The following is a 25,320-nucleotide window of genomic DNA, read 5'->3' as shown; positions in this document are numbered from 1 at the left end:
AAAAACAAGTCTTTGGCTGCCTTCGTTTATGGACCCCTGCTAAACTAATCATTTCAAATGGGCTCTAACTAGCTGGTTTGAAATTAGCTGGAACAACTTTATTCATCCACACTTGTGAAGACAAATTGAAGGGCACTAAGGCCCCCCGCTGGTAATTCAGAAGGGCAGGGGGAGAAAGGGCTCTCCCAGAGGTTATCCCCTAACATCTGAAGGTACCCTTGACTTTGCTTGGTTTTGTCTAAAGAAACCTGAACCTGGGAAGCTGGCCCCGCTGGACAGGGAACATTTTAAATAAAAACACTAAGACAACAAGGCCAGTTTATTTTACAGTGACTCCTGAGGTAGTTTATGTGGGAAACAGCAGGCAAGCCATTAAAACCCTCTGGGGCTTAGTTCATTCTGCACACGTCTCACTCTGGCAAAGGGGTTCTCACACGAGGAGGTCAAAGGAGCATGGATCAAGGTGGGCAGGGGGTGGAGGTGAGGCAGGCCTTGGGAAGTGTCTCCAGATATGGATCCCAATTTCCACAAAATGGCTCGGCAGATTCCACAAACGCTAAGAGAACTTTATTTTAATAAAAATGTCCTATTTTTCAGGTGACCCCTTCCTTTACCACTAGAAAGCAGCTCTATTGCTAAAAAGCAATCCATTTATTTAGACATTCTCTTCTTAGGCAACTTTAAACTTTTCCACCGCCGTAACACCACTCTGTATTTTTCACTTTCAGTCTTCTCTTCAAACACTTTTTTCAAGAGAATCCGCATAACTGTCTCTGTTCCTGCTTCTTTATCCTCTCCAATGAGAAGATCCAATGTATCTCCCACTTTCACCTGAAAATTAAAAGAAAACAGAGGCTTGGTTACACTTCGGGAAATCCAGGCCAATGCAAACATTACTGCTCTGAGTTTTCACCACATGATCATGACCCAGAGGAGGGGCAGGTGAGTAAAGGCCCTGACCTTAGTCACTGTCACCTATCCCAGTGCCTCAGCGTGAAAGGGAGGGTGAAAGGTCAGGTGCGGTGGCTCACGCCTGTAATCCCAGCACTTTGGGAGGCCAAGCTCGGTGGATCACCTGAGGTCAGGAGTTCGAGACCAGCCTGGCCAACATGGTGAAATCCCGTCTCTACTAAAAATAAAAAAATTAGCTGTGTGTGGTGGTGGGTGCCTGTGATCCCAAATACTCGGAAGGCTGTGGCAGGAGAATCGCTTGGACCCGGGAAGTAGAGGTTGCAGTGAGCCAAGATCATGTCACTGCATGCCAGCCCGGGCGACAGAGGGAGACTCCATCTCAAAAAAACGAAAAAAACGAAAAAAAAAAAAAAAAAAAAAAAAAGAAAGGGAGAGTGCCTCAAATACAAGGGCCTCAATATCAGCCAGTGTCCTTCCTTCAGAACTAGACAACTGGCTGGCTGTGGATAGTCCCTGCGCAGAGTAGCTCAAATACTCACATCTATTGGGTGACTTAAGGAAATATTTGAATGGACACATTTATCTTGGTAACACTGGCAAAAGACAAAGAAAGTGGGGGCAGTCTTAGAGACTGTGTGCACAGTAATTACTACATGCACAGTGAAGACAATTTCCAGTGCAACACTTGCCTCAACTCACTCACAAAGGTAGAATGCCACAGAAAGCAGAGTTGGATGCTGATTCAATGGGTTAAAAGGCTGAGGTCAAACCCATTTTTGCACAGAAAGCAGCTTCAGTTGAGACAGTGCAATGCATGCCCTGGGGCAGTTATGTCAGCTCCAAGGTCAAGGACACTGGTCTGTGCTGAAGGTATGGACAGCCCAAGACAGATACCGGGTCCAGGCAGCTCAGGATCTCAAGGGATCTTTCCAGACACTCAAGAAGGGCCAAACAGGGCCGAGCACAGTGGTTCACACCTGTAATCCCAGCACTTTGGGAGGCCAAGGTGGGTGGACCACCTGAGGTCAGGAGTTCAAGACTGGCCTGACCAACATGGTGAAACCCCGTCTCTACTAAAAATACAAAATTAGCTGAGCATGGTGGCACACACCTGTAATCCCAGCTACTTGAGAGGCTGAGGCAGGAGAATCACTTGAACCCAGGAGGCAGAGGTTGCGGTGAACCAAGATGGCGCCATTGCACTCCAGCCTGGGCGACAAGAGCAAAGCTCTGTCTCAAAAAAAAAAAAAAAAAAGAAGGGCCGGCTGGGCACGGTGGCTCAAGCCTGTAATCCCAGTACTTTGGGAGGCTGAGGTGGGCAGATCATAAGGTCAGGAGATCGAGACCATCCTGGCTAACACGGTGAAACCCCGTCTCTACTAAAAATACAAAAAATTAGCTGGGTGTGGTGGCGGGCGCCTGTAGTTCTAGCTACTCGGGAGGCTGAGACAGAAGAATGGCATGAATCCGGGAGGCGGAGCTTGCAGTGAGCCGAGATCTCGCCACTGCACTCCAGCCTGGGCGACAGAGCGAGACTCCGTCTCCAAAAAAAAAAAAAAAAAAAAAAGAAGGGCCATACAGACCCAGGAGCCACATGCTGCTGCTTCTACTAAAACATAAGCCAGGGATGACTGGGAGCCATCTCATACCCCTCACCACTGCTTCCAGTAGGGGGTGAGCAAGCCCATGTGTGGACCACTGACAGTAAGTGGGCACACATTGCCATTTATAAGGCTACTAGAGGGCTTCTGTTTAAGAAGTATGGTGTCAAATGCTGACTTTTATCTTATTTTACAATTAATGTTCTTTAAGGCAGATACAACTTCAGACTCTGAAACCTTTCAACCTCCCCAGAACAAGCCCATGTCTATTCTCCCACCCACTCAAGACCTCTGCAGGCCCAACAGTCAGTCCACAACATGGGCATGCGCACCTGCTTGCCACAACAGTATACTGGCCAATCCAGGAAACCCACAATAGCTGGATATAAAACTCACAGAGGGGCAGATTTTAAACCATTAACTTCCTCTCCTGTGGGCTGAGAAGCAGAAAGGCTCATACCACAGCTATTGTCAAGACTGTTTCTCCCCTTGGGTTTGAGGGATAGGACAACACAGGTACCTGGGCAGGGGTGGGGGGGTTCCACCCTTCTGTAGTTCTGCTGGTTCAATTTTTTTTTTCTTTTTTTTTTTTTTTTGACATGGAGTCTCACCGTGTCACCAGGCTGGAGTGCAGTGGTGTGATCTCGGCTCACTGCAACCTCCACCTCCCAGTTTCAAGTGATTCTCCTGCCTCAGCCTCCCAAGTAGCTGGGACTACAGGGATGTGCCACCACACCCAGCTAATTTTTGTATTTTTAGTAGAGACAGGGTTTCATCATGTTGGCCAGAATGGTCTTGATCTCTTGACCTCATGATCCACCTGCCTTGGCCTCCCAAAGTGCTGGGATTACAAGTGTGAGCCACCGCGCCCAACCCTGGGTTCAATTTTTTAAAATGACTACTTCAGCCTATGTGGACATTTTAAAAAATCCGTCTAGAAATACAGGCCAGGCGTGGTGGCTCACACCTGTAATCCCAGCACTTTGGGAGGCTGAGGGTGGATCACGAGGTCAGGAGTTCAAGACCAGCCTGGCCAACATGGCGAAACCCCGTCTCTACTAAAAATACAAAAATTATCAGAACGTGATGGTAGGTGCCTGTAATCCCAGGTACTCTGGAGGCTGAAGCAAGAGAATCGCTTGAACCTGGGAGGCAGAGGTTGCAGTGAGCCGAGATCGTGCCATTGCACTCCAGCCTGGGCAACAAGAGCAAGGCTGTCTCAAAAAAAAGAAATACAAGGCTTGGGAACTCTGCTTTACCTTTTTGGTATAACCTTATTTCATTCAAATTACTATTTTTAAAGAGATGAGGTCTCACATGTTGCTCAGGCTGGAATGCAGTGGCTATTCATAGGCATAATCATAGTGTACTGTAGCCTCAAACTCCTGGGCTCAACGACACTCCCTCCTCAGCCTCCCAAGTGGCTGCGACTACAGACACACACCAACTTGCTCAGCTAAAATTCTTTTTTTGTTTGTTTTCTTTTTTTGAGATGGAGTCTCGCTCTGCTGCCCAGGCTGGAGTGCAATGGCGCGATCTTGGCTCACTGCAAGCTCCACCTCCTGGATTCAAACGATTCTCCTGCCTCAGCCTCCTGAATAGCTGGAATTACAGGAGCCTGCCACCATGCCCGGGTAACTTTCTGTATTTTTAGTAGAGATGGGGTTTCACCATGTTGGCCAGGCTGGTCTCAAACTCCTGGCCTCAAGTGTTCCACCTGCCTTGACCTCCCAAAGTGCTGGGATTACAGGTGTGAGCCACTGTGCCCGGCCTACAATTCATTTTTAATAAGTAATATATGCATATGATACAAAATTTAGAAGATACAAAAGGGTAGACAAAGAAAAGGTGTATAGGCCAGGTGTGGTGTCTCATGCCTGCAATCTCAGAATTTTGGGAGGCCAAGGTGGGTAGATCACTTGAGGTCAGGAGTTTAAGACCAGCCTGGACCACACAGTGAGACCCTGTCTCTATAAAAAATAAAAAATTAACCAGACGTGGTGGTGTGCCTGTCATACCAGCTACTCGGGAGGCTGAGGTGGGAAGATCACTTGAGCCCAGAAGGTCAAGGTTGCAATGAGCTGTGGCTGCACCACCGCACTCCAGCCTGGGTAACCGAGCAAGACACTGTCTCCAAAATAAAATAAAGAAAAAGAAAAAAAAAATATACAAAGAAAAGGATACTCTGTGTATATCCTTTCATAGAGATACTGTGCATGATGTCTGCCTCTGGATAGAGAAGGCTAGTGTGTGGCTAAAGAATGAATCCCTTTGGCGGGGTGTGGTGGCTCACGCCTGTAATCCCAGCACTTTGGGAGGCCGAGGCAGGTGGATCACAAGGTCAGGAGATCGAGACCATCCTGGCTAACACAGTGAAACCCCGTCTCTACTAAAAATACACACACACACACACACACACACACACACACACACACACACACACAAGAATGAATCCCTTTGGAGCTTCCTTGTAGCACAGAGAAGGGGTGCTCCTCCTTTACCCAACTGATCCCAGGAAGAGATGAGTTTAGGAAGGATTCAATCCCCATACTTGGACACCACACACCCACTGTTTAATCAACAGTTACCCAACACCTACCACACCCTGGGCTTCACCTGGTTTTCAGCTCAAAGAAAAGCTTTGCTGAATCGCAGACAGCCAGGGTTAGAGCTGCAGCATCAGACAAGCACCTGACCCTTCGGGGTCAGCAGCCAGGCACAGGCTCCACAGAGCAGACCAGGGAAGGCGAGGCATTCTTTATTCCCCTCCACGGCCCCTGTCCCTCAGCAGACACAAAGCAAAACTGGCTGGGATTAGGAGCTGTTCCAAATATCTACATTTCAAATCTCTAGTTAGCTGCAGTTTCTATGGCTACCAGGCCTCCTAGTAACAAGACAGCTGAGCGTTAATAATGCCCCCTTCCTTTGCTGACCCTCACAAGAAACATGGAAGGCAGCTGAGACAACAGAACACCCAAGGCAGAATGAAGCAGCAGCAATTAGGCTGTAGTTAACAACATCACAAAACGGGGGCGGGTGGGAGGGGTGTGAGGAAAAATAGTCTAGTGGGGTTTGTAAATGAGGCCCCAGCACAGAGACAGGGTGTTCAGGGAGTAATCATTCTTTACTCCAAGAATACATCTTGTTTTTGGAATACTGCAGCTTAGAAGGAGGGCAGGCTACAGCAGGAAAAAGCTATTCAGAGATGAGAAGGGCTTATGACTGCATGTAGCTCACTGAGCAATAGCTGCTGACAGCCAGCCACAGTCCCAGCCTGCCGGTTCAAGTCAGGGGCATCACCAGGGCCCTGGGACTTGGGGGCTGAGACAGCTTGGGGGAGTTTTCCCTCCTTCTGCCCACAGAGCTACAAGAACCTGCATGATCCCAGTTAGCAAGGACTGCAGGAAGCCTCAGTGCTCACCCAAATGCACGGCTGACAGCCGACAGCCTCAATTTCCCATGTCCTAGGGCAACCGGATGTAGTTCGGATCCTCCAACCCCAGGGGTATTTTGAAATATGAAAGATGAAATGAAAACAATCTCCAAAGTATGTCTAACTTCTCTGGAACCTTTGTTCCCTGAACACTGAGTTAGATTATGTCTTCCAATACCTCGTGTCTTGTGTCTTCCACACTTTTTAAGGGTCTCTGTCATAACTTTTTATTGTGTTTTGTTAACTTTTATTATCAGTATTGTTTTTTCCATTATGAAAGTGATACATACTCATGGTAAAAAAATTCAGAAAATAAAAACTATGAAATTAACATAACCCATAATGCTTCAATTAAAGATAAATGCTAGTAACAGCAGTATTTTAATTCCAGATGTATATATATACGTAACTTACTTTTACAAAAAAATATTTTCTAACAGAATTTTTTTTTTTTTTTTGAGACGAAGTCTCGCTCTGTCGCCCAGGCTGGAGTGCAGTGGCACGATCTCGGCTCACTGCAAGCTCCGCCTCCCAGGTTCATGCCATTCTCCTGCCTCAGCCTCCCAAGTAGCTGGGACTACAGGCGCCCACCACCACACCCGGCTAATTTTTTTTTGTATTTTTAGTAGAGATGGGGTTTCACTGTGCTAGCCAGGATGGTCTCGATCTCCTGACCTCGTGATCCACCTGACTCGGCCTCCCAAAGTGCTGGGATTACAGGTGTGAGTCACTGCGCCCAGCCAGAATTTTTTTTTTTGAGACAGGGTCTCACTCTGTCACCCAAACTGGAGTGCATTGGCATGATTATGGCTCACTGCAGCCTTGACCTCCTAGGCTCAGATAATCCTCCCGTCTCAGCCTCCTGAGTAGCTGGGACAAGCGCCTGCCACCACGCCTGGCTAATTTTTTGTATTTTTTGTAGAGACAGTTTTGCCATGTTGCCCAGGCTGGTCTTCAACTCCTGGGCTCAAGCGATCTGCTGGCCTCAGCTCCCAAAGTGCTGGGATTACAAGCATGAGCCACTGTGCCCCAGAATTTTTATATATGATTTATTGTTAGAAAAGTGGAGACTGGAAACACATTTTCTTGTAACTGACTTTCACTTAACAACAGTATTGATATGGACTTGTCAGAAAATACAGAACACATCCTTTTCTATAACTGCTCTGCACACAAAGCCGTGCATCCAGCAAGCACTCACTGGGTACTGCTGAGCTGTATAGAATTACACATCTGCTCAGATACCACTGGCCAAAGAACAATTCTACGTGGATCAAATGTTTCTTTGAAATCTGATTATGAGGATTCCATGAGGGCTAACATTAATGACCTGGAAGTTTAATTAATGGATTTCTGCCAGTTCTAACAGTGGTGTATTCTAAAATTTTAAAAGGGAGAAGCTTCATCAGAAGATCATTAAGGCTGCAAAAGTGAAAGTGCCTGTGTGTCTGAAGCCTGTAGCTGATTCCCACCAGCTTGACGTGGAGGACCACAAAGGACCTCAGAGAAAGAAGAGGAGCCAGAGGGAAAATTTGGGACAGCATTAATTGAGTTACTAGCAGAGTAAGAGACGAAAACATCTGGCTGTCATTTTAGGTTAGTATCTCACCGTTCTGCTTTTCTTCCATAATTTTTCCTCATTCAGCCTGAGTTCACCTTTGTAGAAAGCATCTTCCACTTTGCTACAAAACAAAAAAAAGCAACAATGTACACAATTTGGGTGATGGGTACACTCAAGCCCAGACTTCATCACTATACAGTATATCCACGTAACAAAACTACACTTGTACCCTCAAATCTATTTTTTTTGTTTGTTTTTTGAGACAAAGTCTCACTCTGTTGCCCAAGCTGGAGTGCAGTGGCGCCATCTCGGCTCACTGCAACCTCCACCTCCTGGGTTCAAGTGATTCTCCTGCCTCAGCCTCCCAGTAGCTGGGACTACAGGCACACATCAACATGCCTAACTTTTGTATTTTTAGTAGAGACAGGGTTTCACTATGTCGGCCAGGCTGGTCTTGAACTCCTGACCTCGTGATCCGCCCGCCTTGGCCTCCCAAAGTGCTGGGATTACAGGCGTGAACCACCGCGTCCGGCCTCAAATCTATTTTTTTTAAAGGTAAAGTGCTTTAAAATATAGAAATATACTCAAAACAATTGCAGTTGACCCTTGGCCAGCACGGGTCCAAACTGTGCAGATCCACTTATATGTGGATTTCCTTTAGCCTCTGCCACCTCTGAGACAGCAAGTCCAACGCCTCCTCTTCCTCCTCTTCCTCAGCCAGGATGAAGACCTTCATGATGATCCACTTCCACTTAATAAATAGTAAATATATTTTCACTTCCTTATGATTTTCTTAATAACATTTTCTTTTCTCTAGCTTACTTTATTGTAACTGTGTATCAGTAAGGCCTTTGGTCAACAGTAGGCTATATTAGTAGTTAAGTTTTCTGAGTGTCAAAATATTAGTAGTTAAGTTTTCTGAGTGTCAAAAGTTATATGTGGCTTTTCAACTGCATGGGGGTTGGCACCCCTAACCCCCACACTGTTCAAGCATCAACTGTATACAAGTTTGAGATAAACACTTGCCATTACTTTTTTTTTTTTTTTGAGATGGAGTCTCGCTCCATTGCCCAGGCTGGAGTGCGGTGGTGTGGTCTCGGCTCACTGCAGCTTCCACCTCCCAAGTTCACGCCATTCTCCTGCCTCAGCCTCCTGAGTAGCTGGGACTACAGGCGCCCGCCACCACGCCTGGGTAATTTTTTTTTGTATTTTTAGTAGAGACGGGGTTTCACCATGTTAGCCAGGATGGTCTCGATCTCCTGACCTCATGATCCGCCCACCTCAGCCTCCCAAAGTGCTGGGATTACAGGCGTGAGCCACCGCACCCGGCCCTCCATTAATGTTTATTCTGACAAGGATTCCCCAGTCTCCATTTTGAGTCCTGGGAAAGTGAAAGTCACCTGCTCTGATGTGTATCTGAAACAGGGAGACCAAAGGGCATTTCTAAATAGATGTTGAACTGCTGCAAAGATTTGCTAGTGCTCTTAGGCAGTTAATTGGAGCCTTAAGAAAGGTTTTAGCATAGATGTCAAGCTCCATTCTGGACAGGGGCCTGGGGTACTCCACCTGACTCCCAGTGCAGAGACTACATGGCCAGGCTGCAGCTCTGGTGATTCACAACAGCCAAAGTGAGTGGGCACTTCCTTCCCCTCAGACACCTGCTCTGTACACTGAGAGAAAAACCAGGCACCACATGTATGGCAAGGCCATTAAGAAACCCTCTGCCAGTTTGTACTGAGGCTGGGGAGATTCCAATCTGACAGCTGCTGATCTCTCTGAACTTAACGCACTAGGGCAACCAGACCGGGGGAGGAAGCAGCTAAAAATCAGTACACCTTTTTTTGATATCTGATTCCAGGTGACTGACATGTGGAGCTTGGCTTAATAACAACAGCAGGAGTTACTACTCTGGGAGAGGAGAGGCCCCCTTATTTGTTTGCCAGAGTTTAGAGAACATTCTCTAATGGCACCCTGATCAGAATGCCAAGGGTGGGGCCTGTGGGCTGGCTCATTTTTATGAACCTTTTTTTTTTTTTTTTTTGAGACGGAGTCCCACTTTGTTGCCCAGGCTGGAGTGCAGTGGTGCGATCTCAGCTCACTGCAAGCTCTGCCTCCTGGGTTCACATCATTCTCCTGCCTCAGCCTCCCAAGTAGCTGGAACCACAGGCGCCTGCCACCACGCCCGGCCAATTTTTTGTATTTTTAGTAGAGACAGGGTTTCACTATGTTAGCCAGGATGCTATCGATCACCTGACCTCGTGATACACCTGCCTTGGCCTCCCAAAGTGCTGGGACTACAGGCGTGAGCCACCACACCCGGCCCTTTTTATGAATCTCTTAAGCTTCAGGGATTAAAAAATTAAACTATGCCATTACATTAGGTCATAAAGGTACAAATTACACAAGAAGTTTTGCTGCATTTATTCATATCACAATTCTTACATTGTATACAATATGCATGCAATCATTCCTAAGGGAATAAATGAACAATGAAGGCCACTATTCTTATATAATTAATCTAGCAGAGAGGGAATCAGAATACTAAAGAAATCTTCGCCAGGCGCGGTGGCTCACGCCTGTAATCCCAGCACTTTGGGAGCGGAGGTGGGTGGATCACGAGGTCAGGAGATCGAGACCATCCTGGCTAACACAGTGAAATCCCGTCTCTACTAAAAAAATACAAAAAAATTAGCCAGGCGTGGTGGTGGGCGCCTGTATTCCCAACTACTCGGGAGGCTGAGGCAGGAGAATGGCGTGAACCCGGGAGGCGGAGCTTGCAGTGAGCCGAGATCGTGCCATGGCACTCCAGCCTGGGCAACAGAGCAAGACTCCGTCTCAAAAAAAGCAAAAAACAAAAAACAAAAAAACCCAGAAATACCTCTATTATATATGAACATATGTAGTATTTTCTTCAAAATAGCCAACATATGTTGAGTACTTACTATGTGCCAGACACTGTAATAAGTGTTTGACATAAATATATAGTCACTCAATCCTAGCAACCACTCTCTAAACTAGGTTCTGTCATCTTCATTTTACAGATGAGAAAACTGAGGGTCAGAAAGTTTAAGTAACTTGCCCAAGGTCACACAGAACCAGGATTGAAACCCCAGTAATCTCACTCCAAAGCCTGCATTCTTTTTTTTTTTTTTTTTTGAGACGGAGTCTTGCTCTGTCGCCCAGGCTGGAGTGCAATGGCGTGATCTCGGCTCACTGCAAGCTCCGCCTCCCGGGTTCCCACCATTCTCCTGCCTCAGCCTCCGAGTAGCTGGGACTACAGGCGCCTGCCACCACGCCTGGCTAATTTTTTGTATTTTTAGTAGAGACGGAGTTTCACCGTGCTAGCCAGGATGGTCTCGATCTCCTGACCTTGTGATCCGCCCGCCTTGGCCTCCCAAAGTGCTCGGATTACAGACATGAGCCACTGCGCCCAGCCAAAGCGTGCATTCTTAACCAACATCTTAGTATACATCATGCTGTTAATTCTAAGAGGTACCTCTTTTTTTTTTTTTCAGATGGAGTCTCACTCTGTTACCCAGGCTGGAGTGCAGTGGCGCGATCTCGGCTCACTGCAACCTCTGCCTCCCGGGTTCAAGTGACTCTCCTGCCTCAGCCTCTCAAGCAGCTGGGACTACAGGCGCCTGCCACCTCGCCCGGCTAATTTTTGTATTTTTAGTAGAGACAGGGTTTCACCATATTGGCCAAGCTGGTCTTGAACTCCTGACCTTGTGATCCGCCCAGCTCAGCCTCTCAAAGTGCTGGGATTACAGGCATGAGTCACCATGCCCAGCTGAGGTACCGTCTCACATTATAGCATTTGTGAAATATCCAGGTACATTTTACGTTTGCTACATACATCTAATATGGTGATTCATTTTCTCCTCAAGAAGCTGTTTTTAAATCAATGGTTCATCTTACAGTCAACTGTGTCTTAGATTCAAATATGGCACATAGGATTTGCAGGCAGTCACTTGACTTCTTTGGAAATCAGTTTGCTCATCTATAAAATGAAATAATTGAAACAGGTTACCTACAAAGGTCCTTTTATTGTGGTTATTCTTCACCATAATATGGGCCAAGTGATTTGTAATGCTATATTAAAATAACATGACTACGAGCGAGTTTATAATGAAATGCGTATCATACTCACTTTCTCCCAATATCTAGCCCCGTCTTCAGGACAACATCATACCGAAAAGACTGAACTGCTTTTTCCAGGTCTTTATAGTTTTTGACTACAGTAGGATCATCCTCAAGCTCCTCTTCCTGCTCACTCATCTCATCATGATGGCTTTCTTCATCAGAGTCCTCTTCATCTACTTTTTGCAGAGACTTTTTAGTAGATTTTGTAGACCTTATATTACTTTTGAGTCTTACGGAAAAAGGAAAAATACATTCTGGAGATAGTAAAAGCCCTGGGAGTCTCAGTGAGAAAATATTATAAAAAAGTGTTTTATAATTTGGTGCACGTAACTTGGTACTAGAAAAATACAAGTATCGATTCCAGGAAGTACAGAGTTTGTATGATGAAGGTGTCCCTCGGAGAACACCCCAGAGTCCAATCCAGGCATCTGGCTTTCTTAAAACACCGGCAAGCAATTTAACACTAGCCATAGCCATGGCGCTTATAATCTGAAACAGATAATAAATCAGTTTTATCTCACAAGTGCAGTGTCATGACATTATTACAACATAAACCATATGCACTATGAACGCTTTATGTACAGTACTATACGTATTCGCCCCTAAAAAGTCCTATTGGGCCTGGCGCAGTGGTTCACGCCTGTAATCTCAGCACTTTGGGAGGCTGAGGTGGGTGGATCACCTGAGGTCAGGAGTACAAGACCAGCCTGGCCAACATGGCAAAACCCCATCTCTACTAAAAATACAAAAATTAGCCGGGTGTGGTGGCAGGCGCCTGTAATCCCAGCTACTCGGGAGGCTGAGGCAGGAGAATCACTTGAACCCAGGAGGCAGAGGTTGCAGTGAGCTGAGATCACGCCACTGCACTCCAGCCCAGGCAACAAGAGAGAAACCACATCCCAAAATTAAAAAAAACCAAAAAACAAAAAAACAAAAACAGGGTCATATCAATCTGCATGTACTAAGGGCCATATACCACAGCACAGTGAATCTTCTAGCTGCAACTAATGTGCTTAGCTCATAGGATTGTCAGGAAGGTCCAATGTGATATGAGTATATGTGAAAGCACTGGTTCTACTCTTCTCCCTCCCACAAATTAGCTTTGGGTACTGATTGCTCCTAAAAAAAATACTAACAATAGTTCTCAATTATGTTTGTTTTTTTATTTATTATTATTTTTTTTGAGATGGAGTTTTGCTCTTGTTGCCCAGGCTGGAGTGCAATGGCGTGATCTCGGCTCACTGCAACCTCCGCCTCCTGGGTTCAAGCTATTTTCCTGCCTCAGCCTCCCCAGTAGCTGTAATTACAGGCATGCACCACCACGTCCAGCTAATTTTGTATTTTTAGTAGAGATGGGGTTTCTACACGGTGGTCAGGCTGGTCTTGAACTCCCAACCTCAGGTGATCCGCCTGCCTTGGCCTCCCAAAGTGCTGGGATTACAGGCGTGAGCCACCACGCCTGCCCTGGTTTTGTTTTTAAAGGAAAATTTGGAGAGAAAGACTGTTGACTGACATACATTACATCCTTACAACATTGACTTTGCCAAGGAAGGACACCAGATCATGACTTCATAAAATCCAGAGTGAATCTCTAAACTTTATTTCAACCTCCAGCCCCAGCAAATCAGAGGTAAGGGTGAGCAAATTGGACAGACCTGCATTTTAACTCCTTTTACATCTCCTTCCCAATGTTTAACAGAGGCATTAACTAGCAGACAAGGAAGGGGTCTAGAGATCCACAAACTAGGGAACTGCAACAAGTGCTTGTGACATGTCAGAGGGCAATCAACTCCTACAGTTACTTCAAATGTAGCAGAAACCATCTTATGATGGTGGCAGACTCACACTCACCCCCACCCCTGCAAGTATATCAAGAAGGTTTTAGAGACCATGATTTGGTAATGAGGGAAGGGTTTCCATATGGTTAACATCCTTGTACCGTGAGTCTGCAAATGACTTTCCTTTGTGCCTAGATTGTACCTTAGGATTGATACCTCTGATTATGGCTCACTCAAAAACATGGAGCTAGCTACTTCCAATTTATATTTAACATTTTGGGCCTTATTTCCCTGGCATGGATGAGCATACGACCCAGTCTCAACTCTATTAATCCACCACTCTTGGGACTCCAATCTAAGTCTTAAAAGGGAAATAAAGCAGACTGAATGTAAAGACTCTGTTTCAACATAACTATAATTTGGAATAATTTTAAAATGCTAGGGTGGGCATGGTGGCTCATGCCTGTAATCCCAGCACTTTGGGAGGCTGAGGCGGGTGGATCTCCTGAGGTCAGGAGTTCAAGACCAGCCTGGCCAACATGATGAAACCCCATCTCTACTAAAAATACAAAAATTAGCCGGGTGTGGTGGCATACGCCTATAATCCCAGCTACTCAGGAGGCTAAGGCAGGAAAATTGCTAGAACCTGGGAGGTAAAGGTTGCAGTGAGCTGAGATTGCACCACTGCACTCCAGCCTGGGCGATAGAGTGAGACTCTGTCTCAAAAATAAAATAAATAAATAAAATGCTATATAATCCAGAGTACTCTAAAATAATGACTAGAAACTACCTGAAGTACCTTCAAGAGAAATGTTGCCAATAATTACTTTTACACATATTCTAGCGTAATAGAGAATGAATAATACCCATTCATAAAAATGCCTTTAAATTTTTTAGATTTAATTTATTTAGTAGAGATGAGGTCTCGCTAATTTTAAATTTTACATAATCAGGCTGGGTACAGGCTCACGCCTGTAATCCCACCACTTTGGAGTCCAAGGAGGGAGGATCACTTGAGGTGAGGAGTTCAAGACCAGCCTGGCCAACGTGGTGAAACCCCATCTCTACTTTTAGTACGAAAATTAGCTGGAGCCAGGCATGGTGGCTCATGCCGGTAATCCCAACACTTTGGGAGGCTGAGGCGGGCAGATCACTTGAGGTCAGGTGCTTGAGACCATCCTGGCCAACATGGTGAAACCCCATCTCTACTCAAAATACAAAAATTAGCCAGGTGTGGTGGCGGGTGCTTGAACCTGGGAGGCAGAGGTTGCAGTGAGCTGAGATCGTGTCACTGCACTCCAGTCTGGGATTTCAGCATTTCCCAGGCTGTATATTTCATTGATTAGTACAATTAAAAAAACTTTTTTTTTAAAGGTAACTAGGCTAGGCGCAGTGGCTCACGCCTGTATCCCAGCACTTTGGGAAGCTGAGGCAGGAGGACTGCTTGAGCCCAGGAGTTTGAGACCAGCCTGGGCAACAGTAAGACTCTATCTCTACAGAAAAAACAAAATTGAGAAAGATACCTCATGGTGGACTCCAAGAAAGATTTCATGCCAAAAGAGTAGGAAGGACATAATCTCAGAATTGAACCACTTTTTTTTTTTTTTTTTGAGACGGAGTCTCACTCTGTCGCCCAGGCTGGAGTACAGTGGCGCGATCTCAGCTCACTGCAAGCTCCGCCTCCTGGGTTCACGCCATTCGCCATTCTCCTGCCTCAGCCTCCCGAGTAGCTGGGACTACAGGTGCCCACCACCACGCCCAACTAATTTTTTTGTATTTTTAGTAGAGACGGGTTTCACCGTGTTAGACAGGATGGTCTCGATCTCCTGACCTCGTGATCTGCCTGCGTCGGCCTCCCAAAGTGCTGGGATTAGAGGCGTGAGTCACCGCACCCAGCCAGAATTAAACAACTTTTTTTGAGATGGAGTTTCGCTCTTGTTTGCCCAGGCTGGAGTGAAACGGCTCGATCTCGGCTCACTGCCTCTGCCTCCTGGGTTCAAGTGATTCTCCTGCCTCAGCCTCCTGAGCAGCTGCGATTACAGGCATGCGCTACCACGTCTGGCTAATTTTGTATTTTTAGTAGAGATGGGGTTTCTCCATATTGGTCAGGCTCGTCTGGAACTCCTGACCTCAGGTGATCTGTCCGCCTCAGCCTCCCAAAGTGCTGAGATTATAGGTGTGAGCCACAGTGCCCGGCCAGAATTAAACTTCTTTAAGATGAATAAATTTTGCATTATAAGAAATCAACTATTGTCATTTATTTTTCTCACTGTGGGTCTAGGAAAACTTTGTCACAGGTTTGTATAGCCACGGCCCAGTGTTGCCAACAGTAGTATATTTGAATATCGGGGCATTAATAATACATTTAAATTAGATGCCCCCCCAAAAGTCATAACTAGGAAAGGTTGAGTATACCCCCTATATGCAATAATATTTTTTCATAAAATTTCTGATTATATGTATATAAAATAAATTTTCATGTAGAAAATTTGAAAAAATATGAAGAAAACTGGACGGGTGTGGTGGTTCACACCTGTAATCCCAGCACTTTGGGAGGCCAAGGCTGGCAGATAACCTGAGGTCAGGAGTTTGAGACCAGCCTGGCCAACATGGTGAAACCCCATCTCTACTAAAAACACAAAAATTAGCCAGGCATGGTGGTGGGTGCCTGTTATCTCAGCTACTCGGGAGGCTGAGGCAGGAGAATCGCTTGAACCCAGGAGGTTGAGGTTGCAGTGAGCCAAGATTGTGCCATTGCACTCCAGCCTGGGCAACAAGAGCGAAACTCCATCTCAAAAAAAGAAAATTAAAACCAGCCATACTCCACTCTATGTTAACCACTGTAAGATTTTGGCATAGATCCTTCACAATGTAAAATCTGAAGAAAAATAATTAACTCATAAGCACAGCCTCTCATACTCTCCCAACCACCCAAAACACACAGGAAGGTTTAGCCATAGGTGGCCAGAGCTCTCTAACATCATCCCCAGGAAGTCTGTGTTGGTCTTAAGTCCTAGAGTCATTATTCAAAGTTTTACTTAGGTGGCTCATGCCTGTAATCCCAGCACTTTGGGAGGCTGAGGTGGACTGATGACCTGAGTTTGGGAGTTTGAGACCAGCCTAACATGGAGAAACCCGGTCTCTGCTAAAAATACAAAATTAGCTGGGCATGGTGGTGCGTGCCTGTAATCCCAGCTACTTGGGAAGCTGCGGCAGGAGAATTGCTTGAACCTGGGAGGCGGAGGTTGCGGTGAGCCGAGATTGTGTCATTGCACTCCAGCCTGGGCAACAAGAGTGAAACTCCATCTCAAAAATAAGAAAAAAAAAAGCACCCTCTGAGGGATGACCTTGTGCAGTTCCCTCATTTTGCAGATGAGTACAAACAAAAGTTGAAGCAATTTAAGAATACGCTAAGTGGCACAGCTAGTAAATGACAGGGCTAGGATCCCAAGGTCAAGTCTTCTTTTTTTTTAAGACGGAGATTCACTCTTGTTGCCCAGGTTGGAGTGCAATGGTGTGATCTCGGTTCACTGCAACCTCCGCCTTCCAGGTTCAAGTGATTCTCCTGCCTCAGCCTCCCTAGTAGCTGGGATTACAGGCATGTGCCACCACGCCTGGCTAATTTTGTATTTTTAGTAGAGACGGGGTTTCTCCATGTTGGTCAGGCTGGTCTTGAACTCCCGACCTCAGGTGATCTGCCCACCTTGGCCTCCCAAAGTGCTAGGATTACAGGCATGAGCCAACGCACCCGACCAAGGTCAAGTCTCCTTAAAGCTCATTGTTTTCACCGTGGGCCAGGCATTGCTCTACACGTTAACTCATTTGTTCCTTGCGACAAGCCCATCTCAGTTATAGGGTCACACAGATACTCTTCAAATCTAGGCATCCGAGCTGCAAAGCCTAGACTCATTACTACCATGCTGAACTGTCCATCAGTGTTCTGACTCCAAGTTAAGCACTCTTTCTTCCACACCCTGACATCTATTTTCCTTTTTTTTTTCTGGAATAAAAACTCACCAACCAGTGCAATACCAGAGAGAACAGATAGTTTTCAGGGGTAGAAGAGTGGGAGGAACTGTTGCCCCAACTTAGAAAATATCCTAAGAGGAGACACCTAGGGAAGGGAAGTAGTCCTGTTTCTGTGTCAGACCCTGGGTGCCCACACTCCCCATCCATAAGTTCTATTTTTATGTTTTTCAGTATCTTTTTTACACTCTTTTCCTGACTTTGAGAAAAGTCCTAGCTTTATACCGTACCGTTGTTTACTTTGAGGAATGCCTAGATATGATGTGGCTCTCTGCTACCTGCATTAGGAAACCTTTCCTTGCAGAAAATAACTATTTAGAATCAGGTGCACTTGTAAATTCAACAAACATACCAAAATGTCAAGCCACGTATTCCCTTGTGTTTATTAGCTACTCACTACCTCTCATTGTGATCAGCTTAACTTTCTAGCAGGCAAACATTGGCAAATGTTGGAAGCTTAGATAAAATTCATTAAAAACATAAAATTGAGGAAACACATTAAGCTAATTCTTGCTGGAGATGATGACCATTTGTAGTTGTTAGCAGTGGGCACTCAGGGTCACAAGGGAGGACCCAGATTCTGCCTCAGAACTTTGTTATTATTATTATTATTTTTGAGACGGAGTCTTGTTCTGTCGCCCAGGCTGGAGTGCATTGGTACAATCTCAGCTCACTGCAAGCTCTGCCTCCCAGGTTCCTGCCATTCTCCTGCCTCAGCCTCCCAAGTAGCTGGGAGTACAGGCACCCGCCACCACGCCCGGCTAATTTTTTGTATCTTTGGTAGAGACGGGGTTTCACCATGTTAGCTAGGATGGTCTTGATCTCCTGACCTCGTGATCTGCCCAGCTCAGCCTCCCAAAGTGCTGGGATTACAGGCGTGAGCCACCGTGCCCGGCCCTGCCTCAGGACTTTGAAACTGGTCAGGGGAGCCCTGAGTTGGAAGTGGGGGTGCCAGAGAAGAAAGCTAACCAGGCACCCAGCTCCTCTCAAGCCAAAGCAGCACTGGAGAATACTGGGTTCCTTATAGCTCACTTGAAAAAAAAAAAAAATCTACTACTGAAAAATTCCTGTCCCTTTGTCATGGTCTCCTCTTCCTCCAGACTCCACACGAGTCACATCCTCCTCTACCAAGCCATGCCCCACATGCCCTTTTCCATACTCTGGTTGCACCAACACTACACATTTTTTTGTTACTTTTGAATTAAGTCACAAATTATCTCCCAAACTCTAAGTGTAGTGATAGGGACTACACAGTGCCCTGTTCTTCACTCCTCTGCTCAGGACATACCAAAACCAGTGAATGGTTGCAGATTCAATTTCTAGAAATGAAATGAGCATCCTGCCCATTACTATAGCCACCCCTACAATCACTCGTTCGCCCACATATGCCAAGTTCCTGGGTAGGCCTTGGTATAAAACACACAGTCCTTGTCACCAGGGAACTGCCATTTAAGTGGAATGTGGACAAGTAAACTGACTGCCAGGGCACAGATGTGAAAGCAGGTCCGGGGAGGCTGAACCCTGCACCAGCTGGAGCGCAGAGCAAGGATGCCTACAAAGTTCTGAGAGCAAAGGTGGCCTGAAACCGAGCTATGGGGAAATATCAAGTTACAACAGTGATTTTTTTGCTTGATAATGGACCAGTCCATTGGCATGCTGTTATTTTTCTCTCATTCAAGGATGAATGAGGATGAGCATTCAAGGATGCTCAGGCATTTTTTTATTTTTTTGAGATGGAGTCTTGCACTGTCACCCGGGCTGGTGTGCAGTGCTCAGCTCACTGCAACCTCCGCCTCCTGGGTTCAAGCAATTCTCCCGCCTCAGCCTCCCCAGTAACTGGGACTACAGGCACACGGCACCACGCCTGGCTAATTTTTGCATCTTTAGCAGAGATGGGGTTTCACTATGTTGGCCAGGCTGGTCTCGAACTCCTAACCTTGTAATCCGCCTGCCTCGGCCTCCCAAAGTGCTGGAATTACAGGCGTGATCCACTGCACCCAGCTCAGGCATTCTTGCTCTGAGCTCCAGCTGATGCAGGGTTCAACCTCCCCTGGACCTGCTTTTACATGTGTGCCCTGGCAGTCAGTTTACTTGCCCACATTCCACTTAAATGGCAGTTCCCTGATGACAAGAATTGCGTGTTTTACCAAGGCCTAGCCAGGCACTTGGCATATGTGAGGAAATGAATCAACGTGGGGGTGGCTATAGTAAAGGAGAGGATGCTGTTACTTTTGTCTCATTCAAAAGCAAGCAATTACACAAACCTCTTGCCTCCACTCCTCCCCAGCTACCACCTCTTTTCTTGCTCCTCTTTACCATAAAACTTCTCAAAACAGTTGTCTAACTCTCCTCAATTCCACTCCTTTCATTTTCTAAATCCAAAAGGTCATGTTAGTCCTCATCTTAATTGACTCCTCAGCAGCACTTGAAAAAACCGATCACGCCTCTCTTCTTCACTTGGTCGCCAAGACACCTTACTCTTGGTTTTCTTCCTGTCTCTCCTGTGGCTGCTGCTTCTCAAGACTCCTCTGCTGGCCGGACACGGTGGCTCATGCCTGTAATCCCAGCACTTTGGGAGGCCGAGGTGGGTGGATCACCTGAGGTCGGGAGTTCGAGACCAGCCTGACCAACATGGAGAAACCCTGTCTCTACTACTAATACAAAAATTAGCTGAATGTGGTGGCACGTGCCTGTAATCCCAGCTACTCAGTAGGATGAGGCACGAGAACCGCTTGAACCCGGGAGGCAGAGGTTGCAGTGAGCTGAGATTGCGCCATTGCACTCCAGCCTGGACAACAAGAGTGAGACGTCTCAAAAAAAAAAAATAGCTGGGCACGATGGCAGGCATCTGTAATCCTAGCTACTCAGGAGGTTGAGGCAGGAGAATCACTTGAACCTGGGAGGCGGAGGCTGCAGTGAGCCGAAGCCATTGCACTCCAGCCTGGGCAACAGGAGCGAAACTCTATCTCAAAAAAAAAAAAAAGAAAAGACTCCTTTGCTGCCTCCTTCTCTTCTCCTTTTTTCTTTTTTTTTCTTTTTTTTTTTTTTGAGACAGGGTCTTCCTCTGTTGCCCAGGCTGGAATGCAGTGGGTGGCGCGATCTTGGCTCACTGCAACCTCTGCCTCCCCAGTTCAAGCCATAGTCTCCCACCTCAGCCTCCAGAGTAGCTGGGATTACAGGCGCCCACCACCACACCCGGCCACTTTTTATATTTTTAGTAGACACAGGGTTTCACCACCTTGGCCAGGCTGGTCTGGAAATCCTGACCTCAAGTGACCCGCCCACCTCAGCCTCCCAAAGTGCTAGGATTACAGGCCTGAGCCACTGTGCCCGGCCCTCCCTGATATCTTAAAGTTGGAGCGGCCCAGGGCTCTATCTTTGGTCCTCTTCTCTTCTACATTCACTTTATCCAGCTCAGCTCTTAAATGTACCCAATTAGTTCTTACAAATGCATTATCAAGACATCAATCATTTCTGTGGCTTTAAATACCACCTATATGCCAACCACACCCTAATCTATATCCCCATTCCAGAACTTTCTCCCAAATTCCAGACTCGTACATCTGTGCAGAAACGAGTTAACATAACAGGCCTGAGACTGCTATCCTTAGAATGCCTGCTTGCAAAGTTGGCCCTTGGCTAGTGTCTCAGAACTTGAACTTCACGAGGGTTCCCACAATTCCCACCTGGATAAGAGTGGCTCACTGTGCTGGAAACTGTACAATGTGATTCTAAACACCTGCTTTTTTTCTGGGCGGCGGAAATTTTGGCACATTCTAGGCAGACAGTGCCTATGTGACTTTTTATTGGAAAAATGAGCTCTACAAGCTTTCCTGATAGATCTCTCACGTCTTGTCATAATTTGATGCTGCAAGAATTAAGCATACCCCATGTGACTCCACTAGGAGAGGACTCTTAGAAGACTGCACCGGGTTTCCTCCAGACTGTGTCCCATGCATCTTTTCCCTTTGCTTATTTTGCTTTGTATCCTTTTGCTATAATAAATCACAGCTGTGAGTATGACTACGTGCTGAGTCTTTTGAGTCCTCTTAGTGAATCAATGAACCTGGGGACCTGCAACACAATAGCTGCCTATTTGACACCTCCACGTGGGCACATAATAAAGTCATTCATACGATGTCACTCCTTTCCTCAAATCCCTACCAAAGCACTCAGAGAACAGCAAAGTCTCTACGATGGTCTAAAGGCTCTATAGGATCTGGTGCTCCCTCAACCCCCATTTCCTCTCCAACCTCATCTGCCAATTTGACTCTTGCAAATTCAGCTTCAGCAACACTGGCATCCTCCCCTTAATTAAGCACTTACCATGTGCCAAGCACTAATCTGGGCACTAGGAATTCAGCAGAGGAAAAAAATACGAAGATTCCTATTCTTGTAGAGTTTATAGTCTAGTAGGGGAAACAGGTAGACAAAAAAAAAAACACCCTGTAAATTATATGATAGCTGGTGGTTAATGCACTGGGGGAAGAAAGTGGAGCAGGGTAAGGGGGATTGAGAGGGCAAGATGAGGTCAGGCAGGTGGCTCACGCCTATAATCCCAGCACTTTGGGAGGCCAAGGCAGGAGACTCGCTTGTGTCCAAGAGTTTGAGATCAGCCTGGGCAACACAGTGAGATCTAAAATAAAAATAGTATGGGCGCGGTGGCTCATGCCTGTAATTCCAGTACTTGGGGAGGCTGAGGCGGGCGGATCACTTGAGGCCAGGAGTTCAAGACCAGCCTGGTCAACATGGTGAAACCTCGTCTCTACTAAAAATACAAAAATTAGCCAAGCGTGGTGGTGCACACCTGTAGTCACAGCTATTTGGGAGGCTGAGGCTGAAGAATCGCTTGAACCTGGGAGGGGGAGGCTGCAGTGAGCCGAGTTCACACCAGTGCATTCTAGCCTCGGCGACAGAGCGAGTGTCAAAAAAAAAAACAACAAAACAGGCCGGGCGCGGTGGCTCACGCCTGTAATCCCAGCACTGTCGGAGGCTTAGGCGTGCGGATCAGGAAGTCAGGAAATCGAGACCATCCTGGCTAACACGGTGAAACCCCGTCTCTACTAAAAATACAAAAAATTAGCCGGGCGTGGTGGCAGGCGCCTGTAGTCCCAGCTACTCGGGAGGCTGAGGCGGGAGAATGGCGTGAACCCGGGAGGCGGAGCTTGCAGTGAGCAGAGATCGCGCCACTGCACTCCAGCCTGGGCGACAGAGCGAGACTGCGTCTCAAAAAAAAAAAAAATAGCCGGGTGTGGCGGTGTGCGCCTGTAGTCCCAGCTGCTGGGGAGGCTGAGGCAGGAGAATGGCGTGAACCTGGGAGGCGGAGCTTGCAGTGAGCCGAGATCCCGCCATTGCACTCCAGCCTGGGCGACAGAGCAAGACTCCGTCTCAAAAAAACAAAACAAAACAAAACAAAACAACACCCTGTGGAATAAAAATTGATCAGGAGGACGGGTGCATTCGAATGAATCAGGAAAAGAACACGCAATGATGGACCCTGGGAAGTGACCTGATGGAAGTTCATTTTAAAAGATCTCTTTGGCGTTGGTGTGGGATGAGTGGAGAGATGATCACGGCAGAATCCCATAGGAGGTTTTGGGTGACATCTTCAGGAGAGGTATACAATCTGAACTAACCGAAGACTGTAAGAAAAGCAGTGTCTGTAAAAAAAGCAGCGCTGACTTTGACCTGCTTGACGCCAGGAAACGCTCCACATTCCTGAGCCCGTTCACCGCTCCGTAAGATGGAGAAACTGGTCTAAACGCTTTGAAGTCTAATGCAGCTAAAGATCCTTCCCTTTACTTGGAGACCTCGGAGGCTGTGGGCTGAGACAGGGTCGGATTCCTCTCGCTCCCTCCCCACCCCCGCGGGCAGTGCACCTTCCTGGGTCCCCAAGGTCAAAGGAAATGGACAACTGCGTCCCCGGGTTCGCAGTCTGCATTCGGAGCCAGCAGGAGCGACAGGAGGCAGGAACGGAAGGCTTCGCCGCGCTCAATTACCACAGTCCCTGCGCAGCCCTGAGCTCGCGGGGCGTCCCGAGGCTGGCAGGACACGGGACACTCACGGGGAGACCCGGCGGGAGCGTGGGCGGGGCGGAGAGGCGAAGTGACAGGGGGCGCGGGCAGGGGGCCCGGCGCGGCGCGCCAGCAGAGGCGCACTCACCTGTACGTCAGGCCCTCTCGTCCCTCCCCGCGGCCGCGCGGACTGCAGGCCTCCAGGCTACCCCTATCTGCGCCCCGCCCCTTCCGCCGGCGCCGGCGCAGTGAGAGCGGGTCGGGCGGGGCGCGAGGCCAGGGCGGCAGCGAAGCAGCGACCCCTGCTGGAGGCCGCGTCTTGGAGGACTGCGCGGGAAGTAGGCTCGGGGCACACCATTCTCCCGGGTTCACGCCATTCTCCTGCCTCAGCCTCCTGAGTAGCTGGGACTACAGGCGCCCACCACCACGCCCGGCTAATTTTTTTGTGTTTTTAGCAGAGACAGGGTTTCACCGTTTTAGCCAGGATGGTCTCGATCTCCCGCCCTCGTGATCCGCTCTCCTCGGCCTCCCAAAGTGCTGGGATTACAGGCGTGAGCCACCGCGCCCGGCCATCTTAATTCTTTTTTCTTTTTTTTTTTTTTTTGAAACCGAGTCTCACTCTTGCCCAGGCTGGAGTGCAGCGGCGTAATCTCAGCTCACTGCGACCTCCGCCTCCCGGGTTCAAGCGATTGTCGTTCCTCAGTCTCCTAAGTAGCTGGGACTACAGGCGTGAGCCACCATGACCGGCTAATCATCTTAATTATTAATGAAGTGATCCTTTCTCTGGGACCACTAACCCCTTTGAACATTTTTTTTTTTGACAGGGTCTCACTCTGTTGCCCGGAGTGCAATGGTGCGATCTCGGCTCACTGCAACCTCTGCTACCCAGGCTCAAGCTGTTCTCCCCACCTCAGCCTCCCCAGTACCTGGGACTCCAGGTGTGTGCCACCACGGCCTGCTAATTTTTGTTTTGTTTTGTTTTGTTTGTAGAGATGGGGTTTCGCCATATTGCCCAGGCTGGGACTCAAGAGAAGCGATCTTCCAGCCTCAGCCTCTTAAAGTGCTGGGATTACAGGTGTAAGCCACCGAGCCCGCCCTCTTTGAACATCTCCAAGAGATATAGGCGTTGTTTCCAGAAAAATGTGCAAATACGTCAGACTCGCAGTTTAAGGAAACATCTTTTCAAGACCAACGCAATTTACACGTGAGCCAATTCCCCTTTCCCTCCCAACCAACTATCCATCCATTCGTCCATCCATCCATCCATCCATCCATCCATCCCTCTCTCATTAGGTCTGTCTGTGGAGAACTCTGACTCATACACCAAACAAGATGTCACCCTGCAACATTCTAACAAAACTTCTAGTCAAAGTCACAGATGACCTCTGCAATGTAAATCCAAAGGTCTGGTCTCATTCCTCAACTTACTTGAGTTATAGGATACCCCATTGGTTTCACCTACCTCACTTGCCACTTAATCTTCTTCCCTGTTTTTTCTTTTGTTTTGTTTTGTTTTTTTGTTTTTGAGAATGAGGCCTGCTCTGGCCCCCAGGCTGGTGTGCAATGGCATGATCTCTGCTCACTGCAACCTTCACTCTCGGGTTCAAGCGATTCTCCTGCCTCAGCCTCCTTAGTAGTTGGGACTACAGGTACGCACCACCATGCCCGGCTAATTTTTGTAGTTTTAATAGAGACAGGGTTTCACCAATATTGGCCAGGCTTGTCTCAAACTCCTGACCTCAAGTGATCCACCTGCCTTGGCATCTCAAAGTGCTGGGATTACAGGCATGAGCCACCACTCCCAGCCAGCTGTTTTTTCATTACATCCTTAGAATGCCAAAGAGTAAGTGCC

The 25,320-nt window shown here is 47.4% G+C and overlaps 1 protein-coding gene across 8 annotated transcripts, besides 4 other annotated features; it reads right to left on the bottom strand.

The window, feature by feature from the left end:
• Positions 1–301: 301 nt before the first annotated feature.
• MTRES1 (mitochondrial transcription rescue factor 1) lies at positions 302–23,689 on the bottom strand. 8 transcript variants are annotated; one of them, NM_001142470.3, is made up of 5 exons: positions 23,091–23,689; positions 21,781–21,863; positions 11,658–12,139; positions 7,556–7,628; positions 302–831 (listed from the first exon to the last, which is right to left on the bottom strand). In NM_001142470.3, exons 2-5 carry the CDS (start codon positions 21,781–21,783, stop codon positions 652–654), a joined length of 738 nt encoding a protein of 245 aa, NP_001135942.1. In that variant the 5' UTR covers positions 21,784–21,863; positions 23,091–23,689; the 3' UTR covers positions 302–651. The 8 variants fall into 8 exon arrangements, with proteins under 8 accessions (NP_001135942.1, XP_047274812.1, XP_011534179.1 ...); XM_047418856.1 differs by having other exon boundaries at positions 23,143–23,689; XM_011535877.4 differs by having other exon boundaries at positions 23,617–23,689.
• Positions 10,640–11,531: an enhancer, noted in NCBI's record as "H3K4me1 hESC enhancer chr6:107361561-107362452 (GRCh37/hg19 assembly coordinates)". NCBI's record gives its function as "activates a minimal SCP1, AML or CMV promoter by ChIP-STARR-seq in naive H9 embryonic stem cells {active_cell/tissue: H9 hESC(naive)}" and the evidence as "EXISTENCE:reporter gene assay evidence [ECO:0000049][PMID:30033119]".
• Positions 22,971–23,070: an enhancer, noted in NCBI's record as "active region_24899". NCBI's record gives its function as "activates an Ori minimal core promoter by ATAC-STARR-seq in GM12878 lymphoblastoid cells {active_cell/tissue: GM12878}" and the evidence as "EXISTENCE:reporter gene assay evidence [ECO:0000049][PMID:35858748]".
• Positions 23,181–23,290: an enhancer, noted in NCBI's record as "active region_24898". NCBI's record gives its function as "activates an Ori minimal core promoter by ATAC-STARR-seq in GM12878 lymphoblastoid cells {active_cell/tissue: GM12878}" and the evidence as "EXISTENCE:reporter gene assay evidence [ECO:0000049][PMID:35858748]".
• Positions 23,401–23,870: a silencer, noted in NCBI's record as "silent region_17436". NCBI's record gives its function as "represses an Ori minimal core promoter by ATAC-STARR-seq in GM12878 lymphoblastoid cells {active_cell/tissue: GM12878}" and the evidence as "EXISTENCE:reporter gene assay evidence [ECO:0000049][PMID:35858748]".

The sequence above is a fragment of the Homo sapiens genome, chromosome 6, assembly GCF_000001405.40.
Source record: "Homo sapiens chromosome 6, GRCh38.p14 Primary Assembly".
Taxonomy (NCBI): Eukaryota; Metazoa; Chordata; class Mammalia; order Primates; family Hominidae; genus Homo; species Homo sapiens.
Note: the sequence above shows the minus strand (reverse complement) of the source record. Positions and strands in the feature narration are given on the sequence as shown.